The sequence below is a fragment of the Homo sapiens genome, chromosome 12 (assembly GCF_000001405.40).
Source record: "Homo sapiens chromosome 12, GRCh38.p14 Primary Assembly".
NCBI classification, from domain to species: domain Eukaryota; kingdom Metazoa; phylum Chordata; class Mammalia; order Primates; family Hominidae; genus Homo; species Homo sapiens.
In genome coordinates, this window is record NC_000012.12 from 22428122 (window position 1) to 22445344 (window position 17223).

The 17223-nt window shown below is 35.9% G+C and overlaps 2 annotated features.

The window, feature by feature from the left end:
- Positions 8542-9149: an enhancer, noted in NCBI's record as "H3K27ac-H3K4me1 hESC enhancer chr12:22589597-22590204 (GRCh37/hg19 assembly coordinates)". NCBI's record gives its function as "activates a minimal SCP1, AML or CMV promoter by ChIP-STARR-seq in primed H9 embryonic stem cells {active_cell/tissue: H9 hESC(primed)}" and the evidence as "EXISTENCE:reporter gene assay evidence [ECO:0000049][PMID:30033119]".
- Positions 9150-9757: an enhancer, noted in NCBI's record as "H3K27ac-H3K4me1 hESC enhancer chr12:22590205-22590812 (GRCh37/hg19 assembly coordinates)". NCBI's record gives its function as "activates a minimal SCP1, AML or CMV promoter by ChIP-STARR-seq in naive H9 embryonic stem cells {active_cell/tissue: H9 hESC(naive)}" and the evidence as "EXISTENCE:reporter gene assay evidence [ECO:0000049][PMID:30033119]".

Consider the following 17223-nt stretch of genomic DNA (forward strand, 5'->3'; position numbering starts at 1 on the left):
AGAAATCAGAGAGGACACAAACAAATGGAAAAACATTCCATGCTCATGGATAGGAAGAATCAATATTATTAAAACGGCCATACTGCCCAACGCAATTTATAGATTCAATGCTATTTCCATTAAACTACCATTGACATTGACATTCTTCATAGAAATAGAAAAAAATATTTTAAAATTCATATGGAACCAAAAAAGAGCCCCAGTAGCCAAGTCAATCCTAAGCAAAAAGAACAAAGCTGGAAGTATCATGCCACATGACTTCAAACTACACTACAGGGCTGCAGTAACAAAAACAGCATAGTACTGGTACAAGAACAGACACATAGACCAATGGAACAGAATGGAGAACCTAGAAATAAAACTGCACACTACAACTATCTGATCTTTGGCAAGCCTGACAAAAACAAGCAATGAGGAAAGGACTTCCTATTCAATAAGTGGTGCTGGGATAACTGGCTAGCCACATGCAGGAGATTGAAACCGGACCCCTTTTACACCATATAAAAAATTAACCCAAGATGGAATAAAGACTTAAATGTAAAACCCAAAACTATAAAAACCCTGAAAGACAACGTAGGCAATATCACTCAGGACATAGGCATGGGCAAAGATGTCATGACAAAGATGCCAAAAGCAATTTCAACAAAAGCAAAAATTGACAAACAGGATCTAATTAAACTAAAGAGCTTCTGCACAGCAAAAGAAACTATCAACAGAGCCAAAAGACAACCTACAGAATGGGAGAAAAATTTTGCAAACTATGCACCCAACAAAGGTCTAATATTCAGCATCTATAAGAAACTTAAACAAATTTACAAGAAAAAAAAACTCCATTAAAAAGTCAGCAAAGGACATGAACAGACACTTTTCCAAAGAAGATATACATGCGGCCAACAATCATATGAAAAAAAGCTCAACATCACTGATCATTAGAGAAATGGAAATCAAAACCACAATGAGATACCATCTCACACCAGTCAGAATGGTTACTATTAAAAAGTCAAAAAATAACAGATGCTGACGAGGTTGTGGAGAAAAAGGAACAATTATACACTGTTGGTGGGAGTGTAAATTAGCTCAGCCATTGTGGAAGACAGTGTGGTGATTCCCCAATCACCTAAAGACAGAAATATCATTTGACCCAGCAATCCCATTACTTTGTATATACCCAAAGGAATATAAATTATTCTGTTATAAAGACACATGCACACATATGTTTATTGCAGCACTATTCACAATAGGAAAGACATGAAATAAACTTAAATGCCCATCAATAATAGACTGAAAAAAGAAAATGTGGTACATATACACCATGGAATACAATGCAGCCATAAAAAAGAGCAAGATCATGTCCTTTGCAGGGACATGGATGGAACTGTAGGTCATTATCCTTAGCAAACTAACACATGAACAGAAAACCAAATACCGCATGTTCTCATTTATAAGTGGGACCTAAATGATGAGAACACATGGACACATAGAGGGGAACAACACACAGTGGGGCCTTTCAGAGGATGGAGAAGGGGAGGAGGGAGAGGATCAGGAAAAACAATGAATGGGTACTAGGCTTAACACCTGGGTGATGAAATAATCTGTACAACAACACCCCATGACACAAGTTTACCTACGTAACAAACGTTCACTTATACCCCGAACTTAAAATAAAAGTTAAAAACAAAAAACTTTTGGAATGCTAGTAGGGAAATTGTAGGTGAATTTATAACTTCAAATATACTTATTAGAAACCGAGACTGACAATAAATACACTAAGCATTCATCCCATGAAGCTAGAATCAAAAACACTAATAAAATCTAAAGGAAGAAGAATGTAAAAAGTAAATAATAAAGTTGATTGAAATCATTCAGAGAATATTCTACAAACACAAACTAATTCTGCTAGCTTATTTTAAGTACAAAGTACTGTAATATTATTTTAAGGTAGACTGTGATAAATTAAAAGTATATGTTGAAAAGCTTAGAACAACCATTAAAACTTGCTTAAGAAGAGACATAACTTATAAGCCAATAGTGGAGATAAAATAAAATCAGAAAAAAAAATATGCAATTGATTTGAAAGCAGACAGAAAGAAAGGATAAAAAGAAACTAAGAACATATGGAACAAATAGCAAATAACTAGCAAGATGGTAGGTTTTAATATAATCCTATTAATAACTACATTAAAATAAATGGTTTAAATTACATTAAAATATAGGTTTAATATAATTCTATCAATAATTACACTAAAATAAATGTTTTTCTAATCTGACAATCTTTGTTTTAGGTTACTTAAAACCTTTGTTTTAGGTTATTTATAAAACAAAGATTGTCAGATTAGAAAAAACAAAAGAAACCAACCATATGCAGTCTATAAGAAAACCAAGTTTAAATATAAAAATATACATTGGCTAAAAAGAAGAAAGTTTTTTTTTAAAAAAAAGATAAATTGTTTTTTCTACAAAAAAGCTAAAGTGGCTATACTAATTTCACACAAAGTAGACTTCTATAAAAGGAATATTAACAGGGATAAAGAGGGACACAGCATAATAATAGAAGGTTCAATTCACCAAGAAGATATCATAATTCTAAATGTATATGCATCTAACAACAGAGCTTCTAAATAAACGAAGCAAAAAATTAATAGAACGAAAAAGTGAAATAGGCTAAACTACCACTATTCTCCAGACTTCTATACTCCTCTCTCAGTGTCAAGAGAACAAGTGGAAACAAAATGAGTAAGACTGGGCAGGCGCGGTGGCTCACTCCTGTAATCTCAGCACTTTGGGAGGCCGAGGCTGGCAGATGGCTTGAGCCCAGGAGTTTCAGACCAACCTGGGCAATGTGGCGAAACCCTGTCTCTACTAAAAATACAAAAATTAGCCAAATGTGATTGCCCACACCTGTAGTCTCAGCTACTCGGGGAGGCTGAGGCATGAGAATCACCTGAACCCAGGAGGCAGAGTTTGCAGTAAGCCAAGATCATGCCACTGCACTCCAGCCTGGGTGATAGAGCAAGACTCTGTCTCAAAAAAAAAGAAAAAATTAGTAAGACTATGGAAGACTTAAACAACACTATCAACTAACTTAACCTAATTACCATTTATAGAAAATGCCACCCAACAAAAGGAGTATAAACATTTTTCTAAATGCATATGGAAAATCCAATAAGATAGGTTATATTCCAGGCCATAAAGTAAGTCTTAATAAATTTAAAAGAGTTGAAGTCATAAAAAGTATGTCCTCCGAACAAAAATGAAACTAAAAATCAACAACAGAAATATATCTGGAAAGTACCTAAATATTTGGAAATTAAACATCACCCTTTTAAATACCCATGTGTCAAAGTGAAAGTTACAAGGGAAAATATAAAATATTTTGAATTAATTAAAAAAGAAAACAGTATCAAAAAGTGTGGCTCTAGTAAAAGCAGTATATAAAGGGGAATGTATTACATTAAATGCTTACATTAGAGAAGAAGAAAAGCCTTAAATAAATGCTCTAGGCTTCCACTTTGAGAAACTTTAAAAAAGAGCAAATTAAACTAAAGGCATTTAGAAAACGGAAATAATAAAGATAAGAGTAGGCATACTTTAGAAAACTTCATGGAAATGGGTAAATCCCTGAAAACACACAACCTCCTGAGATTTTACCATGAAGAAATGAAACTCCTAAACAGACCAATAATGAGTAGCAAAACTGAATCAGTAATAAAAGAAAAAAAACTCCCAACCAAATAAATCCCAGGACCAGAGGGATTCACAGCTTAATTCCACAAAACATACAAAGAAGAGCTAATACCAACCTTCCTGAAACTATTCCAAAAAATTGAGAAGGGAATTCTCCCTAATTCATTCAATGAGGCCAATATTACCCAGCCAACAAACATACGAAACTGCTCAACCTCACTAATGGTCAGAGAAATACAAATTAAAATCACAATGAGATATCATCTTACATCACTCAGAATGCTACTATTAAAAAGTCTAAAAACAACATATGTTGGTGAGGATGTGGAGAAAAAAAGAATGCTTGTACACTGTTGGTGGTAATGTAAATTAGTACAACCTTTATGGAAAGTAGTATGGAGATTTCTCAAAGAACTTAAAATAAAACTACCATTCAATCCAGCAATCCCACTACGGGGTATATATGCAAAGGGAAATAAATCATTATTCAAAAATACACCGCACTCATGTTTATCACAGCAGTTATTCACAATAGCAAAGAGATGGAATCAACCTTAGTGTCCATCAGTGGAGGATTGGATAAAGTAAATGTGATATATATAGATATGATATATAAAAATATATATAGATATATGATATATAAAAATATATATAGATATATGATATATATAAATATATAGATATATGATATATATAAATATATATAGATATATGATATATATAAATATATATAGATATATGATATATATAAATATATGATATATAGATATATATGATATATAGATATATATGATATATGTAGATATATATGATATATATAGATATATATGATATGTAGATATATATGATATATAGATATATATGATATATAGATATATATAGATATATATGATATATAGATATATATAGATATATATGATATATAGATATATATAGATATATAGATATATATAGATATATAGATAGATATAGATAGATATAGATATATAGATAGATATAGATATATAGAGATATATAGATATATAGATATATAGATATATAGAGATATATAGATATATAGATATATAGAGATATATAGAGATATATAGATATATAGATATATAGATATATATAGATATATAGATATAGATATATAGATATATATAGATATATAGAGATAGATATATAGATATATAGAGATATAGAGATATATAGATATATATAGAGATATATAGATATATATAGATATATATAGAGATATATAGATATATATAGAGATATATGATATATATATCTTTTTTATTGCTGAGTAGTATTCCATGGTGTGTGTGTGTGTGTGTGTATCTCCAGGGTGTGTGAATATGTGTGTATATATATGTAAATATATATATATATACATATGTACACATATATATATCTCCATGGTGTGTGTGTGTATATATATATATATATATATATATATACACACACACATATATATACACACATACACACACCATGGAGATATATTTATGTGTGTGTGTATATATATATATATATATATATACACACACACACATACACACACACATGGGATACTACTCAGCAATAAAAAAGAATGAAATCATGTCTTTTGCAGCAACATGGATGGAACTGGAGGCCATTGTCCTAAGTGAAATAACTCAGAAACAGAAAGTCACATGCTGCATGCTCTCACTTATAAATGGGAGCTAGACAATGGGTACACATGGACATAGACAGTGGAATAATAGATATTGGGAACTACAAAATGTGGGAGGTAGGAAGAGGAGTGAGGGGTGAAAAATTACCTATTGGGTACAATGTTCACTGTTTGGTAATTGGTACACTAAAAGCCCAGACTTCACCATTATGCAATGGATACATGTAAGAAGTCTGCACTTGTACCTCCTAAATATATTTTTAATTTTAAAAAAAGAGCAGAAACAAAACCAAAACCGAGAAAAATAGGGAAAAACATCAATGACATCAAAAGTCAGTACTTTGAAAAGATCAATAGATGAAATGAACTTCTATCCAAACTGACGTGATTGAGGAAAAAAAAAAAGGAAGACACAAATTACCAATATCTGGAATAATAGCAGACATATCACTACAGATTCTACAGATATTAAAAAAAAATAAGAAGATAATATTACGAATAACTCTATGCCAATAAAGTCAACAATTGAGGAAAAAAGGGACAAATTCCTTGAAAGACACAAACTGCCAAAGTTTAAACAAAAAGAAAAGGATAACCTAAATAGCCCTATATTTATTAATAGATTTAATTCATAGTTAAAGACCTGCCAACAAAGATAACTCAAGTGTTGGATACCTTTGCTGGCAAATTCTATCACACATTTATGGATCAAACAGCATCAATTGTAGATAAACTCTTCTGTAAAGTAGAAGAAGAGGGAACATTTGGTTTAGTTTCTAAAAATCAATAAGTGTAATTCATGATGTCAACAAACTAAAGAAGAAAATCCATGTAATCACATTGATAGATGCAGAATAAACATTTGACAAAATTTAAAGAGCATTTTAGAAAACCATGCAGATAACATCACAGTTAACGGTGAAATACTAAATGCCTTCCCCCTAAGAGCTGGAACAAGGCTAGGATGTCCACTCTTACCACTATACATTGTACTTAATAATTTACTAAAATAATTATTAATATGGCCAATTTAATAAGAAACAAGAAAAAGAAGTAAAAATCATCCAGATTGAAAAGAAAGAAATAAAACTATTACTATTTGTTATCATGACAATGGGTAACTCCACTGATAGAAACCTGGAAATGATTCTACAAAAAGATACTAAAATTAATAAATGGCTGCAGGATATAAGATCGATGTAAAAAATCAATTATATTTGTATATACTAAAAATAAATAATTTCTGGAAATTAAAATTAAAACTAAAACAGTACCATTATAATAAGACCAAAATAAATCTGAAATCAATATAATGCCCCCAAAGATGAATAAGATTTGCGTGCTAAAAACTCTAAAACATTGATGAGAGAATCAAATAAACAGAGGGCAATACAATGTTTATGAATTGGAAGACTCAATATTGTTAAGCTGTCAATGCTCTCTCAACTGGTCTATAGATTCAACACAATTTCAATCAAAAATATCAGCTTGGGGCTTGTTTTAAATAAAAATTGTAAGACCTATTCTAATTTTATGGAGGAAAAAAACAAACAAAAAACTAGAATAGCCAAAAGGTTTATTTGAAAAAATGTGAACAAAGTTGGAGGGTTTACATTCCTTTATTTGCCGACTAACTATAAGTTTCAGGAATCAAGAAGTGCAGTATTGGAAAAGGAGCAGACTTGCAGATCAGCGGAACACATGACAGACTCCAGAAATAAATTCATATATATGTGACCAAACAATTTTCAACAAAGATGTCAAATCAATTCAATGAAGAAAAGCTAGTCATTTCAACAAATAGTGCTGGAGCAGTTGAACATTATATGCAAAAACAAACAAACCAACCTTGACCAAACCTGACACCATATAAAAGTGTAATTTGAAATGATCACACACCTAAATGTAGAGCCAAAAACTCTGAAACTTCCAGATAATCTTTGTGATCTGCATTAGGCAAACATTTCTTAGGTGGAACACAAAAAGCATGAACCACAAAATTAAAAAATGATAAATTGGACTTCATCACTTCATCAAAATTAAAAACTTCTGTTCCTTAAAAGATAATGTTAAAAGAATGCAAAGACAAGTCACAGATTGAAAGAAAATGTCCACAAAACACATATGTTATTTAAATAAGAAACCGCTGATACACAGAATATATGAGGAACTCAATCAAAAATCAATTTAAAATACAAAAATGATCAAAAGACTTGAACAGACATATCACCAAGGAAGAAATGTAGATAGCAAACGAGCATGTGAAAAATTACTCATAATATTATTAGTCATTAGGAAAATGTAAATTTAAATCACAGTGAGATACACCTACTAGAGTAGCTAAAACCAAACTGAGAATACCAAGCACTGGTGAGGATGCAACGCAAAAAGAACCCTCATACATTGTGAGTGGGAATGCAAAATGGTACAGCTACTTTGGAAAGCAGTTTGGCAATTTCATATCATTAAACATATACTTATCATTTGACACATATGATAAGCAATCCTTCCCTTAGGTATTGATCCAAAAGAAATGGAAACTTATGCTCACAAGAAGACCTGTACATGAAAGTTTGTAGGGTTTTATTAATAATCTCCAAATACTAGAAACAACCCAGTGGACACCAGTTGGTGAATGGATAAACATATTGTGTTGCATCCATATGATAGAACACTACTCAGAAATAAAGGGGGGAATGAAGTGTTAATACATGGAACAATACAGACGAATCTCAAATATATCATGCTAAGTGAGAGAAGCTGGACTCAAAAGGAAACATTCTGAATTATTCCATTTATATAACATTCTTGCAAAGGTAAACTTGGGAACAAAAAACAGATCAGCAGTTTCAGGGTTTGGGTGCTGGTAGAGGGGATTCATTACATAGGGGCAGGAAGAAACTTTTTCGGGTGATGGAAATGTTCTAGATCTTGTTTACAATGATGGTTACACAACTACAAGTGCTTTTCAAAATTTATGGAATTCCACACACAAAACAGGTAAAATTTTTCGCATATAACTAGACCTCAATATACTCCAATAAATTTTGACTTTGTGGCAAGGAAGAATTTGTTAAAACAGAAGCCAACAGTCATACAAAGTTAAATACTTAAAAGATTAATAAATTTTAGCCTGTAGGGATCATGGCAGATGGGAGGCTGGACTAGATTGCAGCTCCGGAGAGAGCAACATACAGATGCTTGCACTGTGAATTTTAGCTCCAGATTGGCTGTAAGAACAAACCAGCAATCCTGAGAGGAGCCACAGACCCTCTGAAGGAAGCGAACGGCTCCTGCGGGACCTGGGAGACACCCTAAATACTGTGAGTGCCCCAACTGTGGAAGTTGGAAAGGGAGACCCTCCTCTTCTGAACACACACCCCCACTGGAGAAGCTGAAGGTCTGTTTGTGGGAGAAGTTTCCAACTTTACCTGGAGCTGAGTCAAGTTAGAGAGCCGAGCCAAACAAAATACAGGGGTAGAGAAAGCAGCAGAAAGGCCCTGGGGGCTCAGTGGGTCCCCAAGCTGCCCATTCCTGCCTGGCACCGCAGGGATCCATCAGGAGGGTGGCCAGAAGAGCAGAGGGTAAAACTCCACAGGGAGAAGGAATTCCCTGGCTGAACTTTGTAACAATTTGAACGAGGTGAGAAACCTCCTAGTCAGAACTTGGGGGAGGGTACAAATCTGGCTTGCAGACTTCACAGGCAGGGGAAGAACTAAAGCTCTTTTCTTTCGCGGCTAGGAGACAGAAAGCCTCGGGCAAGTTTTCAAGCCTGTCTCGCCCTGCACCTGGAAACAGACTCGGACTGTTGTGGTAGGCACGGTGGGAGTGAGACTGGCCCTTTGGTTTGTGTGAGAGCTGGGTGAGGTCTGTGACTGCCGGCTTTCTCCCACTTCCCTGACAACCTGCATGACTCAACAGAAGCAGCCATAATCCTCCTAGGTACACAACTCCAGTGATCTGGGAATCTCACCCCATGCCCCACAGCAGCCACAGCAAGACCCGTCCAAGGAGAGTCTGAGCCCAGACACACCTAGCCCCACCCCCACCTGCTGGTCCTTCCCTACCCACCCTGGTAGTGGAAGACAAAGGGCATATAATTTTGGGAGTTCTTGGGCCCCACCCATCACTGGCCCCTCTCCACACTACTACAGTTGATGCTTTCTGGAAAGTGCCACCTCCTGGCAGGAGGCCAACCAGCACAAAAATAGAGCATTAAACCACCAAAGCTAAGGGCCCCCACAAAGTACATTGCACCCTCTGCCACCTCCACTGGAACAGGCACTGGTATCCATGGCTGAGAAACTCATAGATGGTTCGCATCACAGGACTCTGTGCAGACAACCCCTAGTACCAGCCCAGAGCTGGGTAGACTCTCTGAATGCCTAGACCCAGAAGAGAGACAACGATCACTGCAGTTCAGCTCACAGGGAGCCACAACCACAGGAAAAGTGGGAGAGTACTACACCAACAGAACACTCCATGGGACAAAAAAATCCAAACAACATCTTTCAGCCCTAGACTCTGACAGAACCTACTCAAATGAGAAGGAGCCAGAAAACCAACCCTGGTAATATGACAAAACAAGGCTCATCAATACCCCCTCAAAAATCACACTAGTTCACCAGCAATAGATCCAAACCAAGACGAAATCTCTTATTTATCTTGAAAAGAATTCAGGAGGTTAGTTATTGAGCTAATCAGGGAGGGGCCAGAGAAAGGCAAAGGCCAATGCAACGAAATCCAAAAAATGATACAAGAAGAGAAGGGAGAAATATCCAAGGAAATAGATAACTTAAACAAAAAATCAAAAATTCAGGAAACTTTGGATACACTTCAGGAATGCAAAATGCTCTGGAAAGTCTCAGCAATAGAACTGAACAAGTGGAAGAAAAAAATTCAGAGCTCGAAGACAAGGTCTTCAAATTAACCCACTTCTACAAAGACAAAGAAAAAAGAATTAGAAAATATGAACAAAGCCTCCAAGAAATCTGGGATTGTGTTAAATGACAAAACCTAAGAATAATCGGTGTTCCTGAGGAAGAAGACAATTCTAGAAGCTTGGAAAACAATATTTGGGGGAATAATCAAGGAAAACTTCCCCAGCCTTGCTAGAGACCTAGACATGCAAATACAAGAAGCACAAAGAACACCTGGGAAATTCACCGCAAAAAGATCTTCACCCAGGCACATTGTCCTCAGGTTATACAAAGTTAAGATGAAGGAAAGAATCTTAAGAGCTGTGAGACAGAAGCACCAGGTAACCTATGAAGGAAAACCCATCAGATTAACAGCAGATTTCTCAGCAGAAACCCTACAAGCTAGAAGGAATTGAGGCCCTATCTTCAGCCTACTCAAACGAAACAATTATCAGCCAAAAACTTTGTATCCAGTGAAACTAAGCATGATATGAAGGAAAGATACAGTCATTTTCAGATAAACAAATGCTGAGAGAATTTGCCATTACCAAGCAACCACTGTAAGAATTGCTAAAAGGAGCTCTAAATCCTGAAACAAATCCTAGAAACACATCAAAACAGGACCTCTTTAAAGCATAAGTCACACAGGACCTATAAAACAAAAATATAAGTTAAAAAAGCAAAAACAAAAAACAAAACAAAGTACATAGGCAACAAAGAGCATGATCAGTGCAATGGTACCTAACATTTCAATATTAACGTTGAATGTAAATGCCTAAGTGCCCCACTTAAAAAATAGAGAGCCACAGAATGGATAAGAGCTCACCAACCATCTGCTGCCTTCAAAAAACTCACCTAACAGATAAGGACTCACATAAACTTAAAATAAAGGGGTGGAAAAAGGCATTTCATGCAAATGGACACCAAAAGTGAGCAGTGGTAGCTATTCTTATATCAGATAAAACAAACTTTAAAGCAACAGCGGTTAAAAGAGACACAGAGAAACATTATATATTGATAAAAGGCCTTGTCCAACAGGAAAATATCACAATCCTAAACATATATGCATCGAACACCTGAGATCCCAAATTTATGAAACAATTACTAACAGACCTAAGAAATGAGATAGATAGCAATAAAATAATAGTGGGGGACTTCAATACTTCACTGGCAGCATTAGACAGGTCATCAAGTCAGAAAGTCAACAAAGAAACAATGGATTTAAACTATACCATGGAACAAATGGATTTAACAGAAATATACAGAACATTTCATCCAACAACCTCAGAACACACATTCTATTCAACAGCACATGGAACTTTCTCCAAGACAGACCCTATGATAGGCCATAAAATGAGCCTCAATAAATTTAAAAAAATTGAAATTATATCAAGCACTCTCTTAGACCACAGTGGAATAAAACTGGAAATCAACTCCAAAAGGAACCTTCAAAACCACGCAAATACATGGGAATTAAATAACCTGCTCCTGAATGAGCATTGGGTCAAAAACAAAATCAAGATTGAAATTAAAAAATTATTCAAACTGAATGACAAGAATGACACAACCTATCAAAAACCTCTGGGATACAGTTAAGGCAATGATAAGAGGTTCATAGCCCTAAACAACTATATCAAAAAGTCTGAAAGGGCACAAACAGACAATCTAAGGTCACACCTCAAGGGACTAGAGAAACAAGAACAAAACCAAACCCAAACCCAGCAGAATAAAGGAAATAACCAAGATCAGAGCAGAACCAAGTGAAACTGAAACAAACAAAAAAATACAAACAATAAATGAAGCAAAAAGCTGGTTCTTTGAAAAGATAAATAAAATTGATAGACCATTAGTAAGATTAACCAAGAAAAGGAGAGAAAATTCAAATAACCTCACTAAGAAATGAAGCAGGAGATATTACAACTGACACCACTGAAATACAAAAGATCATTCAGGGCTACTATGAACAACTTTACGCACATAAACTAGAAAACCTAGACGAGATGGATAAATTCCCAGAAAAATACAACTCTCCTAGCTTAAATCAGGAAGAATTAGATACCCTGAGCAGACCAATAACAAGCAGTGAGACTGAAACAGTGATTTTAAAATTACCAACAAAAAAATGTTCAGGACCAGATGGATTCACAGAAGAATTCTACCAGACATTCAAAGAAGAATTGGTACCAATCCTTTTGACACTATTCCACAAGATAAAGAAGGAACCCTCCCTAATTCATTCTATGAAGCCAGCATCACCCTAATACCAAAACCAGGAAAGGACACAACCACGAAAGAAAACTACAGACAGATATCCTTGATGAAGTTAGATGCTAAAATCCTTAATAAAATACTAGCTAACCAAATCCAACAACATATCAAAAAGATAATCCACCATGATCAACTGGGTTTCATACCAGAGATGCAGGGACGGTTTAACATACACAAGTCAACAAATACGATACACCACCTAAACAGAAGTAAAAACAAAAATCACATGATCGTCTCAGTAGATACAGAAAAAGCATTAGACAAAATCCAGCATGCTTTATGATTAAAATTCTCAGCAAAATCAACATACAAGGGACATACCTTAATGTAATAAAATCCATCTATGACAAACCCACAGCCAACATAATACTGAATGGGGAAAAATTGAAAGCACTCCCTCTGAGAACAGGAATGAGACAAGGATGCCCACTCTCACCACTCCTCTTCAACATAGTATTGGAAGTCCTAGCCAGAGAAATCAGACAAGAGAAAGAAATAAAGGGCATCCAAATCAGTAAAGAGGAAAGTCAAACTGTCCCCATTTGCTGATGATATGATCGTTTACCTTGAAAACCCCAGGAACTCTTCCAGAAAGCTCCTAGAACTGATAAAAGCATTCAACAAAATTCCCAGATACAAGATTAATGCACGCAAATCAATAGCTCTTCTACACAGCAACAGCAACCAAGCGGAGAATCAAATCAAGAACTCAACCCCCTTTACAGTAGCCGCAAATAAAATAAAATACTTAGGAATATACTTAACAAAGGAGTCGAAAGACCTCTACAAGAAAAACTACAAAATATTGCTGAAAGAAATCACAGACAATACAAACAAATGGAAACGCATCCCATGCTCATGGATGGGTAGAATCAATATTGTAAAAATGACCATTCTGCCAAAGTAATCCACAAATTAAACACAATCCCCATCAAAATACCACCATCATTCTTCACAGAGTTAGAAAAAATAATTCTAAAATTCATATGGAACCAAAAAAGAGCCTGCATAGCCAAAGCAAGACTAAGCAAAAAGAACAAGTCTGGAGGCATCACACTACCTGATTTCAAACTATACTATAAGACCATAGTCACTAAAAGAGTGTGGTGCTGGTAAAAAATATAGGCACATAGACCAATGGAACTGAGTAGAGAACCAGAAATAAACCCAAATACTTCCAGCCAACTGATCTTCGACAAAGCAAACAAAACCATAAAGTGGGGAAAGGACACTCTTTTCAGCAAATGGTGCTGGGATAATTGGCTAGCCACATGTAGGAGAATTAAACTGCATCCTCATCTCTCACCTCATACAAAAATCAACTTAAGATGGATTAAGGACTTAAACCTAAGACCTGAAACTAAAAATTCTAGAAGACAACATTGGAAAAACCCTTCTAGACGTTGGCTTAGGCAAGGATTTCATGACCAAAAACCCAAAAGCAAATGCAATAAAAACAAAGATAAATAGCTAGGACCTAATTAAAGAGCTTTTCCATGGCAAAAGGAACAGTCAGCAGAGTAAACAGACAATCCACAGAGTGGGAGAAAGTCTTCACAATCTATACATCTGACAAAGGACTAACATCCAGAATCTACAACAAACTCAAACAAATCAGTAAGAAAAAATATACAAATGGCCAACAAACATATGAAAAAATGCTCAACTTCACTCATGATCAGGGAATTGCAAATCAAAACCACAATGCGATATCACCTTACTCCCAGGGAAATGGCCATAATCAAAAATCAAAAAACAGTAGATGTTGGCATGGATGTGGTGATCAGGGAACACTTCTACACTGCTGGTGGGACTGTAAACTAGTACAGCCACTATGGAAAACAGTGTGGAGATTCCTTAATGAACTAAATGTAGAACTACCATTTGATCCAGCAATCTTACTACTGGGTATCTACCCAGAGGAAAAGAAGTCATTATTTGAAAAAGATACTTGCACACGCATGTTTATAGCAGCACAATTCACAATTGCAAAATCGTAGAACCAACCCAAATGCCCATCAATCTAGTGGATAAACTGTGATATATATATATATATCCATAATATATATATATATCCATAATATATATATATATATGATGGAATACTACTCAGCCATAAAGAGGAATGAATTAACAGCACTTGCAGTGACCTGGATGAGATTGGACACTATTATTCTAAGTGAAGTAACTCAGGATTGGAAACCCAAACATCATATGTTCTCACTGATATGTGGGAGCTAAGCTATGAGACACAAAGGCATAAGAATGATACAATGGACTTTGGAGACTTGGGGGGAAGAGTGGAAGGAGGGGGAGGGATAAAAGACTACAGATATGGTGCAGTGTATACTGCTCAGGTGATAGGTGCACCAAAATCTCACAAATCACCACTAAAGAACTTACTCATGTAACCAAACACCACATGCACCCCAATAACTTATGGAAAAATAAAATAATAAAAATAAAAATAAATAAACATGAAAAAATAATACATTTTGCCATATAAAGATCCTTTTAAAAGTTGAATTATGCTCTAAAAGATTAACTGTAATGAGAGGTATCAGCAAGTCCTCTATTACCAGAAAATCATCCTGACATTGCTAAACTCCCTTTAGAAGGATATGTACGAATACTTTGGAATTTCCTGGCATGATTCCCTTTGGGGAATAAGGGAAAGGTCCGTGGGAAGCACTTGAGGATATCGCTATGAAGTGACAGACCCCAGAACCAGTTATGATAAGGAGCCCCTGGGGCTTCCTGGTCCACTGGGAGTCAGCTGTGAATGAGAACTAGAGGGTTGAGCACTGGGAACTGAACCTGAGCAGACTTTCTTGGCTGAATTAGGCATGGCCTAAAGACCCCTGGAAGCCTGTGCAGGAGTCTTGGTTAGTACCGCATCATCACCTGGGGAGAGGAGCTACTTCCCTGTTCTGTGTGGAACTCATTCCAACAGCGCCACCGTGTGATTATAAGAAGCAGACACAACAGTGAACCGAGAAGATTCCTGCACTGTAGCCGCTTGGATGTGGAAGCCGTTAACCCTTTGGGGACTTCATTGAGCCCTGGAGTTGTTGGACGATTCCAGAAGTAGAGAAGCGCTTACAGGCAGGAGAGTCTGGACTTCCGCTAATTATTCATATGGGTATACACAAAATTGTTAGGAAAAATAAGAGAGATGACAGTGCGTGTATCTTGAATTTGTGAAGCATTTTCTATTAGATGTTATTATCACAAATAGCACAGCTGTACGGTAATTTTATACTTTATGTATCTCTATAGTTGAACTTGTATAGGAATTTGTATTCGTTTTCTGTTGCTACCGCAACCTTAGTGGTTTCAACAACACAAACTTATTACCTTACAGTTCAGTAGGTCAGAACTGACATGGGTCTCACCAGGCTAAAATCAAGTCATTGGCGGGACTGTTCCTTTCTGGAAACCCTAGGGGAGAACACACTTCCTTGTTCATTTGAATTTCTGGCATAATTCAGTTTCTTGTATTGTGGAACTGAGATGGTTTCTGGCTGTTGTCGGCTGAGAGTTATTCCCAGAGTCTAGAGGTCACACACATTTTTATTTTTTATTTTTTATCTTATTTTATTTTAATTTTGAGACTGAGTCTCCCTCTATCGCCCAGGCTGGAGTGCAGTGGCACAATCTCGGTTCACTGCAACTTCTGCCTCAGCCATTCTCATGCCTCAGCCTCCCAAATAGCTGGGATTACAGGCGCCTACCACCATGCCCGGCTAATTTTTGTATTTTTAGTGGAGACGGGGTTTCACCATGCTGGCCAGGCTGGTCTCGAACTTCTGACCTCAAGTTGATCCGCCCGCCTCGGCCTCCCGAAGTGCTGGGATTACAGACGTTAGCCACCGCGCCCAGCCCACATTTCTTCCCCTGCCTCAAAGTCAGCAGTGTTGAGTCAAGTCCTACTCACATAGAGTCTCTCTGACCTCTTATATCCTCTGTTTCCATTTTAAAGGATTCATGTGGTTAGATTCTAGGACCCTCCCAGATAAACCAGGATAATTTATCCATCTCAAGCCTTGACCTTGATCACATTTGCAAAGTTTTTAACATGTCAGGTAATATATTCACAGGGGATTAAGTTGGGGACATCTTTGAAGGCCCATTATTCTGCTTACCATAGACATTTTGAGGTTTGTTAATATTTAAAAATATAGTCTTTAAAAAAAACTCCAATGAACAAATATTTAAAAGGATTTTTATAGACAACAACAGTCTTACTTTCAAAAAGCAGAGGAACCATTTTTATGTTTTTATTTTTTATATGTAAAAATATAGTCTTTGTTGGAGAGTACGTGGAGAAAAGGGAACCTTGCACGCTGTTGATAAGAATATAAATTAGTACAGCCATTATGGAAAAGAGTCTGGAGGCTTCCCAAAAAATTGAAAATAGTACTACCATACGATCCAGCAATCCCACTACTCTGCATGTTTCCAAGGGATATGAAATCAGTATGTCAAAGAGGTATCTGCACTCTCATGTTCATTACAGCGTTTTTCACAATAGCCAAGTTATGAAATCAACCTAAGTGTCCACAAACAGATAAGTGGATAGAGAAAATATGGTATCTATACACAATGGGATGCTCTTCAGTCTTTAAAAAGAAGGAAATTCTGCCATTTTCAACAACATGAATGAACCTGGAAGACACAATGTTAAGTAAAATAAGCCAGGCAAGAATGACA